The sequence below is a fragment of the Homo sapiens genome, chromosome 12 (genome assembly GCF_000001405.40).
Source record: "Homo sapiens chromosome 12, GRCh38.p14 Primary Assembly".
NCBI classification, from domain to species: domain Eukaryota; kingdom Metazoa; phylum Chordata; class Mammalia; order Primates; family Hominidae; genus Homo; species Homo sapiens.
In genome coordinates this window covers 96487416-96500195 of record NC_000012.12, presented here as the reverse complement: position 1 = coordinate 96500195, position 12780 = coordinate 96487416, and the positions used below count along the sequence as shown (strand labels likewise).

At 41.4% G+C, this 12780-nt stretch overlaps 1 protein-coding gene across 2 annotated transcripts in view, besides 3 other annotated features; it reads right to left on the bottom strand.

The window, feature by feature from the left end:
* Positions 1-10619, bottom strand: part of CFAP54 (cilia and flagella associated protein 54) — a 385979-nt gene extending 375360 nt beyond the window's left edge. For both annotated transcript variants that reach the window (NM_001367885.1, NM_001306084.2), the window contains exon 1: positions 10270-10619. In NM_001367885.1, the coding sequence (NP_001354814.1) occupies positions 10270-10586 (317 nt within the window). In that variant the 5' untranslated portion in view covers positions 10587-10619. The remainder of the gene's footprint in view (positions 1-10269) is intronic.
* Positions 10371-10580: an enhancer, noted in NCBI's record as "active region_6833". NCBI's record gives its function as "activates an Ori minimal core promoter by ATAC-STARR-seq in GM12878 lymphoblastoid cells {active_cell/tissue: GM12878}" and the evidence as "EXISTENCE:reporter gene assay evidence [ECO:0000049][PMID:35858748]".
* Positions 10371-10765: a biological region, named in NCBI's record as "Sharpr-MPRA regulatory region 2123".
* Positions 10471-10765: a silencer, noted in NCBI's record as "tiled region #2123; HepG2 Repressive DNase matched - State 4:PromP". NCBI's record gives its function as "represses a minimal TATA promoter and a strong SV40 promoter by Sharpr-MPRA in HepG2 cells {active_cell/tissue: HepG2}" and the evidence as "EXISTENCE:reporter gene assay evidence [ECO:0000049][PMID:27701403]".

Sequence of the window (12780 nt, the reverse complement as noted above, 5' to 3'; positions counted from 1 at the left end):
GGCTTCTTTCACTTAGCAATATGCATCTAAGTTTCCTCCATGTCTTTTCATGGCTTGATAGCTCATTTCTTTTTAGCACTGAATAATATCCCATTGTCTGGATGCATTACAGTTTATTTATCCACGCACATGCTGAATGACATCTTGGTTGCTTACAAGTTTTGGCAATTATGAATAAGGCTGCTAGAAATACTGATGCGCACGGTTTTTTTTGTTTTGTTTTGTTTTGTTTTGTTTTGTTTTGTTTTTGAGATGGAGTCTTGCTCCTGTCACACAGGCTGGAGTGCAGTGGCACGATCTTGGCTCACTGCAACCTCCACCTCTGGGGTTCAAGCAATTCTCCTTCCTCAGCCTCCCGAGTAGCTGGGATTACAGGCGTGCACCACCATGCCTGGCTGATTGTTGTATTTTTAGTAGAGACAGGGTTTCACCATGTGGGCCAGGCTGGTCTCAAACTCCTGACCTCAGGTAATCCACCCGCCTAGGCCACCCAAAGTGCTAGTATTACAGGCATGAGCCACCGCTCCCAGCCCGATGTGCAGGTTTTTATATGGACATAAGTTTTCAATTCCTTTGGGTAAATACCAAGGAGCACAAGGGGTGAATGTTATGGTAAGAATATGTTTAATTTTGTAAAAAACCACCTGTCCTCCAAAGTGGCTGTACTATTTTGCATTCCCACCAGCAATCAATGAGAGACTTCATTGCTCCACATCCTTACCGGCATTTGGTGTTGTCGGTGTTCTAGATTTTAGCCTTCCTAATAGGCATGTAGGGTATCTTATTGTTGCTTTAATTTGCATTCCCCTGATTACATATGATGTGGAGCATATTTTCATATGTTTATTTGCCATCTGTATGTCTTCTTTGGTGAGGTGTCTGTTAAGGTCTTTGGCCCATTTTTAAGATCAGGTTGTTGGCCAGGCACAGTGGCTCATGCCTGTAATCCCAGCACTTCGGGAGGCCAAGAAAGGTGGATCACTTGAGGTCAGGAGTTTGAGACCAGCCTGTCCAACATGGTGAACATGGTGAAACCCCGTCTCTACTAAAAATACAAAAATTAGCCAGGCATGGTGGCGCACATCTGTAGTCCCTGCTACTCAGGAGGAGAATCATTTGAACTCATGAGGTGGAGATTGCAGTGAGCTGAGATCAGGCCACTGCACTCCAGCCTGGGCAAAAGAGCAAGACTCCATCTCAAAAAAATTAGTAAATAAATAAATAAATAAAAATATTTAAAAAAGTAAAATCAGGTTGTTGTTATTGCTGAGTTTTCAGAGTTCTTCGTATATTTTGGACAACAGTCCTTTATCAAATATGTCTTCTGCAAATATTTTCTCCCAGTTTGTGGCTTATCCTTTCATTCCCTTGACAGTATCTTTCATAGAGCAGAAATTTTTCATTTTAATGAAGTCCAACTTAACAATTCTTTCTTTCATGGATCATGCCTTGGTAATGTATATTCAAACTCATCACCAAACCCAAGGTCACCTAGATTCTCTCCTATGTTATCTACTAGGAGTTTATTTTTTATTTTTTGTTTTGAGATGGAGTCTCACTCTGTCACCAGGCTTGAGTGCAGTGGTGCCATCTCAGCTCACTGCAACCTCTGCCTCCTGGATTCAAGTGATTCTCCTGCCTCAGCCTCCCGAGTAGCTGGGACTACAGGCACGCACCACCACGCCCAGCTAATTTTTGTATTTTTAATAGAGATGGGTTTTCACCATGTTGACCAGGATGGTCTCAATCTCTTGACCTTGTGATCCACCTGCCTAGGCCTCCCCAGGTGCTGGGATTACAGGCGTGAGCCACGGTGCCCGGCCAGGAGTTTCATAATACTGCATTTTACATTTAGGTAGGTGATCCATTTTGAGTTAATTTTTGTGAAGGGCGTACAGTCTGTGTCTAGATTCATTTTTTGGCATGTGGATATCCAGTTGTTCCAGGACCATTTATTGAAGACACTGTTCTCCACTGAATTGACTTTGCTCACTTGCCGAAGATCAGTTTGTTGCCAGAAAAGGGGTTTTGATCCAGACCCCCTAGATTCATTTTTTGGCATGTGGATATCCAGTTGTTCCAGGATCATTTATTGAAGACACTGTTCTCCACTGAATTGACTTTGCTCACTTGCCAAAGATCAGTTTGTTGCCAGAAAAGGGGTTTTGATCTAGACCACAAGAGAGGGCTCTTGGATCTCGCACAGGAAGGAATTCAAGACAAGTCACAGAGTGCAGTGGGAAGAGATCATTCATTGAAAGCTACTCAGTTACAGAGTTGGGCAACCTCAGAAAGCAGGAAGATGAACACACTATCTTTGTTTTAAACTCTTCTTATATAGGGGTCTTATCTACGTAAAAAGCCAAGCTAAGTTAGGTCTACATGCAGGTAGGCCAACAGTGTAACGAAATTTATTACTCTGTTGATTTAAAGGAAACTATCCTCAACGTTTTCATGTGCAGTACATCAAGGCATAGCTATAATTATCTTGAAGGCGTATATTGTTATGGGTACTGGGACATCTGGACTTTCTGCTGTTGTAGGTGCTTGTCTTTGCAGGTATCTTTAGGTTGTTTCTTCAACTGTAAAAAATTGATGACCATGGGTCACGCCTGGCAAGGAATGTGCCTTGCTAATTTTAAAATGGAGTTGATTTTAAAATGCCATTACTCTGGCTCTCCTATGCTCCTGTTTCCCTAACAAGTTGGCTATATTTATGTGAGTCTATTTCTGAGCTGTGTATATTGTTCCATAGATTTGTCTATTCTTTCACCAATGTCACACTATCTTGAATACTGTAGCTTTATAGTAAGTCTTGAAATTGAGTCGTGTCAGTCCTCCAACTTTCTTCTTCTCCTTCAATGCTGTGTTAGCTATTTTGGGTCTCTTGCCTATATATGTACCTTTTTTCACTTCATTTTCACAACTCCAAGAAAGGTAATATCAATATCCCAAAGATACAGTTGATTAAGCTGAGGCTCAGTGCATCTATGCTCTTAACGACTACATGAATGAGCTTGCCAGTCCTCTGGAAAGTAAACTCCCCTGAGGTCAAGGACCTCAACAATATTATTCATTGCCCAGCCCCAACAGTAGTGAATACCTAGTACATGTAGGTACTCAATAAATATCTGCTGAAAGATGAATGAATGAATAAAGGATTGGGAAGAAAACATTATTTGTTCTTGTTTTATTTTTTCTTATGAAGGGCTCAGGGCTCAAATGGCCAGTCAATCCACTTAGAGCTATACTTCCCTCCACCAAGTAAAATAAAAACAAAACAAACAGCATTTTCAAAATGGTTTCTAACCAGAGTTTCAAACAGTAGCAGATCATTGCCTATTTTATTCATTCATTTAGTTAACATTTATTTCTTTCCTCTCCCTCAGAAATTATATATGTCTCTAGGAAAAATCTGAATATCCCTTAACAAGTGTCCAATCCTATCTCATAAATTTCTAGATAAGACTGAATATTTGTGACCCCTCCCCCACTGCCCCCCAATTCATATGTTGAAATCCTAACCTCCAGTGTGGTTGTATTTGGAAACAGAGCCTCTAAGGAAGCAATTAAGGTTAAATGAAATTATAAGATTAGTACTCTGGCCTGATGGAATTAATGTCCCTACAAGAAGAGACTCCAGAGAGGTTGCTCTTTTGTGATATGGTCATAAATTGTTTACAGTCTCCATGCTTGAGGACAAAGCAGCCTTCTACAAACCAGGAGAGGAGTCCTCATGAGAAACCAACCCTGCTGGACCTTGATCTGGGACTTCCAGCCTTCAGACTGTGAAAAATAAATAAATTTCTGTTGTTTAAGCCACCTGGTCTGTAGTATTTTGTTATGGCAGCCTGAGCTGGCTAATACAGGACATAAACTTAAGAACTGAAGATGGCTCTAATACTTATGATGTATGTGTTGGAGTAATAATGGAACATCTAAACAGAAACCTGTCAATTAATTCATTTGGGTAATTAAATAATATTGATTGAGTCACTGATTGAGTGAAGGAGACAATGCATTCCTCCTTCACAAACTGATTAATAATATATTTAGGTAGAAAAATATATGCATATACCAAGTAATAAATAACAATGACAAATAAATATAGCAAATATAAACCACAGACATTTAAAAGGGGAGAGGTGTTTTGTTTGCTTTATTACCTCTTTCACTTTCATTTGCTGCTTCACGAAATGCCACGGTATTTGAATAAATATAATGAATCCAAGAAATTCACCAAGTCTTACTAGAAGTCTTAAATTATGTAGATGAAATAATTAATTCTTCTAAACCTTACAGATGAGATAATGATGACTAGGTTTGTTACTCATAAAAGAAAAATACCAGCTTTGTTAAATCAATCAAGATTATATAATAAGAAAGAAAAAATCTCTTTTTTTGTTGAACCCTAAGTTCAGGTTAAGGCTGCTCATTGGGAATAGCTTACATAATGATTAAACCAAAAATATATAATATATACTATAGAATGTACATCATTTGAGAAGAAAATGTTAATGTACTTGGGATTGCTGACTGTTGCTAGATATGTAAAATGTTCTAAAACAGAAAATCAGCCAGGCACGATGGCTCATGCCTGTAATCCCAGCACTTTGGGAGGCCAGAGTGGGCAGATCGCTTGAGGTCAGGAGTTCAAGACCAGCCTGGGAAACATCACGAAATCCCGTCTCTACTAAAAAAAAAAAAACAAAAATTAGCCGGGCGTGGTGACATGCACCTATAGTCCAGCTACCAACGAGGCTGAGGCACGTGAATTGTCTGATTGACTGCACCCGGGAGGCAGACGTAGCAGTGAGCCAAGATCCGGCTACTGCACTCCAGCCTGGGCGACAGAACAAGACACTGTCTCAAAAAAGAAAAAGGAAGGAAGGAAGGAAGGAAAGAAGGAAGGAAGGAAGGAAGGAAGGAAGGAAGGAAGGAAGGAAGGAAGGAAGGAGAAAAGAAAAGAAAATCATAACTATATAAGCAGAATACCTCAATCTTATGTGCTTATAGCAAAAGCACATTTTTAAAAACGTATCATACTCTTATTTAAAGATATTTCTAGTATGACAATAATTTATATTTTAAATACTATGAATTGTATGCTTATGGAAGTTTCCATAGTTATAAGGAAAAACAAATTTTGATACAAAAAATAACCATCTGTTGTCTAGGCGCAGTGGCTCACGCCTGTAATCCCAATACTTTGGGAGGCCAAAGCGGTCGGATCACGAGGTCAAGATATCGAGACCATCCTGGCCAACATGGTGAAACTCCGTCTCTACTAAAAATACAAAAATTAGCTGGGCGTGGTAGGTTGCGCCTGTAGTCCCAGCTACTTGGGAGGCTAAGGCAGGAGAATCACTGGAATCCGGGAGGCGGAAGCTGCAGAGAGCCGAGATTGCGTCATTGCACTCCAGCCTGGCGACAGAGCAAGACTCTGTCTCAAAAAATAATAATAATAATAATAACCATCTGTCAAATATATTATAAAAGCAACTCCTACCTCCTGTACTCCTAACTGGTCTCTACACTGCTATTCTTGTTCCCTTTGGATATGATCATCAGAATAATATCTTAAAACAAAAATTAGGCCGTGCATGGTGGCTCACACCTGTAATCCCAGCACTTTGGGAGGCTGAGGCGGGTGGATCACTTGAGATCAGGAGTTTGAGACCAGCCTGGCCAACATGGTGAAACCCTGTCTCTACTAAAGACACAAAAATTAGCCGGGCGTGGTGGCATGCGCCTATAATCCCAGCTACTCAGGAGGCTGAGGCAGGAGAATCACTTGAACTCCGGAGGCGGAGGTTGCAGTGAGCTGAGATTGCACCACTGCATTCCAGCCTTGTTGACAGAGTGAGACTGTCTCAAAAAAAAAAAAATTACATAAGGGTAATCCTTTGCCAAAACTACCCAATGGAATAAATGCAAACTCTTTAAAATGGCCTCTAAAACCTTCCAAAGTCCTATTATTCCCCTAAATCTCACCTCATACTGTTGTACCTCTTTCACTCTGCTTCTGCTAAATGGGATTCTGTCCATTCCTCCGAAGTAGGAATGGATCTGTTCTGCCAAGGATCTTCCTGCATTTTTGTCCCCCTATTCATCCTCTCTGTTTGGCTAGTCAAATCCCAGGTGTCCTTCTAATCTCAGCTTAATGGCACCTCCCTTACCAATCATTCGAAAGCAAGTCCCCACTACATTCTCTTTAAGCCTCTGCTTTAAGTGTCATCTACTTCTGACCACCTTATTGAAAATTGCAACTTCCTATCTTCCACTCCATAACCTCTTCTCTTTTTCTTTTTCTTTTTAATTTCTAATGGGAATAGATTATCTTCTTTTTCTCTCTAGCATTTATCATTTCTTTGTTTTGTTTTTTTGTTTGTTTGTTTGAGACGGAGTCTCACTCTGTCGCCTGGGCTGGAGTGCACTGGCGCGATCTTGGCTCAATGCAACCTCCACTTCCCAGGTTCAAGTGATTCTCCTGCCTCGGCCTGCCGAGTAGCTGGGATTACAGGCGCCCACCACCACGCCCGACTAATTTTTTGTATTTTTAGTAGAGACAGGGTTTCACTATGTTGGCCAGGCTGGTCTCAAATACCTGACCTCGTGATCCAGCCTCTCAAAGTGCTGGGATTGCAGGCGTGAGCCACCGCACCCAGCTGCATTTATCATTCCTAAATTACCATAAAATACACATAATTGATGTTTATTGTCTAGTTCCCTCTCTAGACTATAAAGTCTGAGAAGGCAGAGACTTTTGTCTGGTTCACTGCTGTATCCAGAGTGCCTAGTAGGAAGCCTGACACATATAAGTGCTCAGCAGTTACTTTCATAGCATTTGTTGTTTGTGAATTGACTAATGACTCATTGAACATCTATCTCCCTCTCTAGACTATAAGCTCCATGAATACTGACTCCCATATCTATTTTGTTCACCACTGTGTAACCAGTGTCAAGTACATTTCCTCACACATAGCAGGCACTCAGTAAAAATTATTGTATAAATAAAGGCCAAAATTGTGTGAGAGGTTGGACTGTTAAGGCACATGTCAATCCAATGCTTGTGATTCTTATAGTCTTGTTAAAGATGGCGCAGATTCTGTACTTATAGACTGGCCCATGTCTACTTTCCTATATGTAATAGTCACAATTACTGAGAATATAAGGATAATAACTCTTTTTTTTTTTTTTTGAGACAGAGTCTCATTCTGTCATCCAGGGTGGAGTGCAGTGGCATGATCTCGGCACACTGGCAACCTCCACCTCCTGGGTTCAAGAGATTCTCATGCCTCAGCCTCCTGAGTAGCTGGGATTACAGGCACACACCACCACGCCCGGCTAATTTTTGTATTTTTTAGTAGAGACAGAGTTTTGCCATGTTGGCCAGGCTGATCTTGAACTCCTGACTGCAGGTGATCTGCCTGCCTCAGCCTCCCAGAGTGCTGGGATTACAGGCGTAAGCCACTGCACCAGGCCAAGGATAATAACTCTTGAATCCTTTCAATACTAAATATTTATTGAATGTTTATTATGTCCCAACCCCCAGGCTAAGTGCCAGAAATACAGCAATGAAAAAGAAACACATCCAAAGTCACCAGGGAGCTTACATCCTAATGAGACAGACAATACACAAGAAAACAAATCGATTAAAAAATATAAACCTATGAGTGAATCTGCATTCGATAGGAAAGGCCACTCTAAGGAGGTGACAACTGAGCTGAGGCCTGAAAAAAGGAGCCAGATTTTTGAAAAGCTTGGGGAAGAACATTCAGACAACAAAGATGGCAAATATAAAGGCTCTGGGGTGAGAAACAGTAGGACCTGTTTCTCTGGAAAGTCCTGAGAGAGAAGTGAGGGATGAGCTGAGCTCAGAAAGGCAGGCAGGGTCAACACCTCAGCCCCTGGAGAGTATCAGAATTCTTAAGTTTATTCCAAAAGCAATGGGAAGCAATAGAAAGACTTTAGATAAGATTTGTAAAGATCATCCTGACTGCTAGGTGAAGGATAGATTGGAGACAGAGTGGCTGCAGGGAAAATGTGAAATGGTGGTGGTTTGGACTGGAACGCTGGTAGTGGAGATGGGGAGATGAAGTTCAAAGATAAAAACCATTTAAATATAAATGTATAAGCCGGGCAAGGTGGCTCATGCCTGTAACCTCAGCAATCTTGGAGGCCAAGGCGGGTGGATCACCTGAGGTCAGGAGTTTGAGACCAGCCTGGCCAACATGGCGAAACCCCATCTCTACTAAAAATACAAAAATTAGCCGGGCGTGGTAGCAGGCACCTGTAGTCCCAGCTACTCAGAAGGCTGAGGCACAAGAATCGCTTAAACCTGGGAGGCAGAGGTTGCAGTAAGCTGAGATCGCAGCAGTACACTCCAGCCTGGGGTACAGAGTGAGACTCCCTATCAATAAATAAATAAATAAAGCATATAGAGTAGGTATATAATGGGCTTTCCTTGGTCAATTCTTGGTTCTCATCTTACTTGGCCAGTCAGCAGAATTTGCCACAGTTGATCATTCCTTTCTTCCTGAAATACTTTCTCTACCTGCTTCTAGTACACCAGGCACTTAATGGTTTTCCACTGGCCCCTCCTCCTTAGTCTCTGTTGGTTTCTTCTTATTGCCTCTCCCTGTCCATGCTGGAGCATCCCAGGGCTCAATCCTTGGACTCTTCCCTTCTCCATTTACACACACACTCCCTTAGCTATTCATCAAGTGTCATCATTTAAATATCATATGAATCCCAAATGTATATCTCATCTGACTTCCAGATTCAAATGTCCAACTACCTACATAGTAGCTCCACCTGGATGCTGAATCACATCTCAATTTTTATAAAAGTAAACTCTTGATCTCCCTCCCTCTTGCTCTTCCCACAATACAATTCCACCCCAGGTCTTTCCCATCTGCCATTCTCCCTGTGTGACCTACTTTTTGCACAAAAATCCTCATCAATTGCTCCCATATCTTTCTCATCTTTCTCAAAAGCAACTTTTCCTGACCTTCCCTAACCAGGCTTCTCACCACCCCATTTAAAATTGCAACACTCAGGCCAGGCGCAGTAGCTCATGCCTGTAATCCAATACTTTGGGAGGTCAAGGTGGGAGGATCCCTTGAGCCCCCAAGTTCAAGGTTTCAGTGAGCCAGGATTGAGCCACTGCACAACAGCCTGTGCAAGAGTGAGACCCTGTCTCAAAAAAAAAAGATAAAATTGCAACATTCATCTCATATCCTCCAACACCATTCCCTGTTCTATTTTTCTCCCTAGCAGTCATCTCCTTGTAAGATTATTTACTTACATATTTGTTTAGTGGTTGTTTATACCCACAAAAACATATGCTCTATAAGGACATGGATTCTTATATGTTTTGTTAACTTGATGTTTTCCTAGTTCCTTGAACAGCACTTGATATACAGTATGTGCTCAATAAATAGTTGTTATATGCATAAATAAAAAATATTTTATTTTATTTATTTATTATTATTATTTTTTGAGAAGGAGTCTTGCTCTGTCGCCCAGGCTGGAGTGTAGTGGCGCGATCCCAGCTCACTGCAACCTCTGCCTCCCGGGTTCAAGCAATTCTCCTGCCTCAGCCTCCTGAGTAGCTGGGAGTACAGGCATGTGCCACCATGCCCAGCTAATTTTCGTATTTTGTATTCATGTATAAATTTTTGGCTCGCTCAAGGGTTTCACAACTTTCCATGTTATGAGTATATAAATTTGTATATGGAGAAAAAGGAATAACTTCGAGGTAGCTCAGGTTCATGAAGCTAGCTCTTGATACAATGAAGTATGTCATCCTGTGAACATGTGCACTTTAATTCCTTCTTATATTGCTATTAGGATTACAGTGACTTTTTCTTAATTTTGCTATTCATTCTGCGCAACTGTTTGCCTTTTTGGGAGTTCTATCACCATGTTATTACTGCAAACTGCGAACTCTTTTTAAGGTTCTTTCCTGCTTATGTTACCATCTTTCTTTTCTGGTCAAATAACAAATGGTGAGTTATGAAACATTTCTGTGTAGATTTTTATTTTGACCTGAGCAGGAAGCCAAGATATAACAGCTCCCAGGAATTAAGGATTGTTAAGAGCGACGAGTCTCCACTTCTTAAACTTTGTCTCTCCTGGGCCCTTCAGCCAGCCCCTGCGTCCGCAACGCTGAACCATCTCTGGGGCCACCACCTGCATCCTCCAGCCCTTTCCAGGGGTCCCTCCTCTGGCCGGCGCCCTCCCCAGTGCCCCGCCAGCGCTTACCAACGCCGGCGGAATTCGTGCTTCTCTTCCTCCGTGGTGGCTAAAGCCTTCTTTTTCCTCATAAAGCCTAACAACTCCTGGATCTCCTTCTCACAAGAGGCCAGGAGCGGGTTTTTCGCGTCCAGCGGCCCATAAAACACGGCTAGGGGCAATGAGTCCTCGGGGCAGGTCCACTGAAGCAGCGAGCTCCGGGAGCTCCCCTTCGACTCTGGGGGCGACCTCGAAGTCGCGGTGGAGGTCGGCGGCAGTTCTGGCAGAGACCCCGAGGTGGTAGAGTCGTCTGACGGAGAGCTCGAGGGGGAGCCCTGCGCCGCCATATTGACGCGCCCCGGCCCGCCTGGAGTATGTGTACACGCGGTTGCCTGGCGACGGTCTCGTGGCAACCGGGCATCCCGCGCGCATTCCGAGAAACACAGCGGCCCCTGGAGGGCAGAGCGAGAAAGAACCAGGTCCAGAAAACAATGATGCTCCTGAGGGCGTTGCCTGGTTGTGCGCTGGCACCGCTGTATGAAATGCGAACAGAGAATGTTCTGAGCAGAGCGCTGGCGAATATTAGAGCCAAAAATTTAAGGTCACAAATCCAGACTATACTCTTTATCCATGTTGGCCACTTAATAACGATAATGATGACGACCATGACCATTAACGTGTGTCAGGCATTAAGCATTTGAAACATGTACTTTCATTTATCTCATTTAATCATCATAACTACTTTACAACTTAGGATACTATTAGTATATCCATCTCACAGTTTAGGAAACCAAAGCTCAAGGAGGTTAAGTCATTTGACAAAAGTCAGCGTACAACCGTAGTGTCAGCGACCAGGTCCTCCAAAGGGAACTTGTGACTCCAAAGCCTGTGCTCAAAATGAATAGGCTGTATTGATCACTCCCCAAAACAAAGCTTATTAATCAAATTGAAATTAGAGAAATATCTGACAAGCAGTTTAAGAATCAAATACAGTTGGCCCTCCAAATCTCGGGTTCTTCATCTGTGGATTCAAGCAACTCCAGATTGTAAATATTCAGAACAAAATTAGAAATAACAATACAACAATAAAAATAACACAAAATACAACTATTTACATGGCATTTATACTGTATTAGGTATTACTAGTTATCTAGAGATGATTTAAAACATCCTGAAGGATGTGCACAAATTATATGCAAATACTACAGCATTTCATATCAGAGGCTTGAGCATCCACAGATTTTGGTATCTGCGGGTGTCATGGAACTAGTCCCCCACAGATAGCCAGGGAGTACTGAATATGCAGCTGATCCATTCTCTTTCCTCTATTTGTACCTTGAGGTCTGTAACTGTGGACATGATGTCTATGCCTCTAATAATTATGATTACATCTATTTATGCACATTCCAGCCTTACTTTAATTATCTCTGTATTCTAAATTAATGTGCATTTTGCTCAACCTTAACCATAGGACATTAATACATACTAGTGGCCTGAAGTGTTAACTCTCAAAATACTTTGCATTTTAAACAGGGCTTTTAGGAGACTTTACTTCTGATGGGGAAACTACAGACCTCCAGGGAAATACTTGGGGAGTTTATTCTTAGCCTGTGTATTATAGGCAAAAGTCAGAGTTAAATTTATTAAAGTATGAGTATTGAGAAAATGGAGAACCTTCTTTTCTATAAATTATGCAACACAATAAATTATCTAAGAGAAGAACCAGAAATATTTGGTGGCTTAGAAAAATCAGTCTTTAACCCTGAAAATTGTTACCAGTTCTATCACACTTAAATAAAGACAGTGACCCTAACACCCTGTGAACCCAATTTTCCATTTCAGACTAAGAAGCTTATTGGACCACAGCCTGATATCTTTCAAGTCTGACCTAATTTTATGCAGGCTCTGTGGGCCTGTGCTAATTTGTGAGGCTGGCCTAATATGTCATGTCTACTGTACCCTAATATTCTTTGAAGGAAAATAATTTTGCTCATCGGCACAGTTAATTATAGCCAGAGAAACTTCCTGGCAAGCAGTGAGACGCAATGACACCTCACTGTAGGAGTCCAATTCTCTAATCAGGATGTAGATATCATCCTTTGATCAACAAAGATTTTATCTTGTTCTCTAAGTGAACAACAAAAATTGTAAGGCTTTAAAGAATGTAGTCCTAGAGAAATAATCACTGGGCATTTACAAAAATATTAATAGACATTTTTAAAAGTCGGCTTGGTAAATTCTCTTTTTTCTCATCTTTTTCTTGCTCTAACATGGCAGACTTGTCCATTGCAGATCAAAAACTGGTGTAATTTGCCACTGAGTGCTATCTATTATATTGATGAAAGTGAAACAGCAGGATAAAATTAATTAAAGTGGTCACAGAAAAGGAAAGAAAAAAATAAAAGACAAAGTGGTGTTTTTCCTTCTAATCTGGCTACTGTCACAAACAAACTTTATCATAGGGCAGACACTTGTATTTCAAAGTCACTGGTAAAAGAAAATGTGACTAAGCAAATTCAAATACCTGAATTATGAAACATT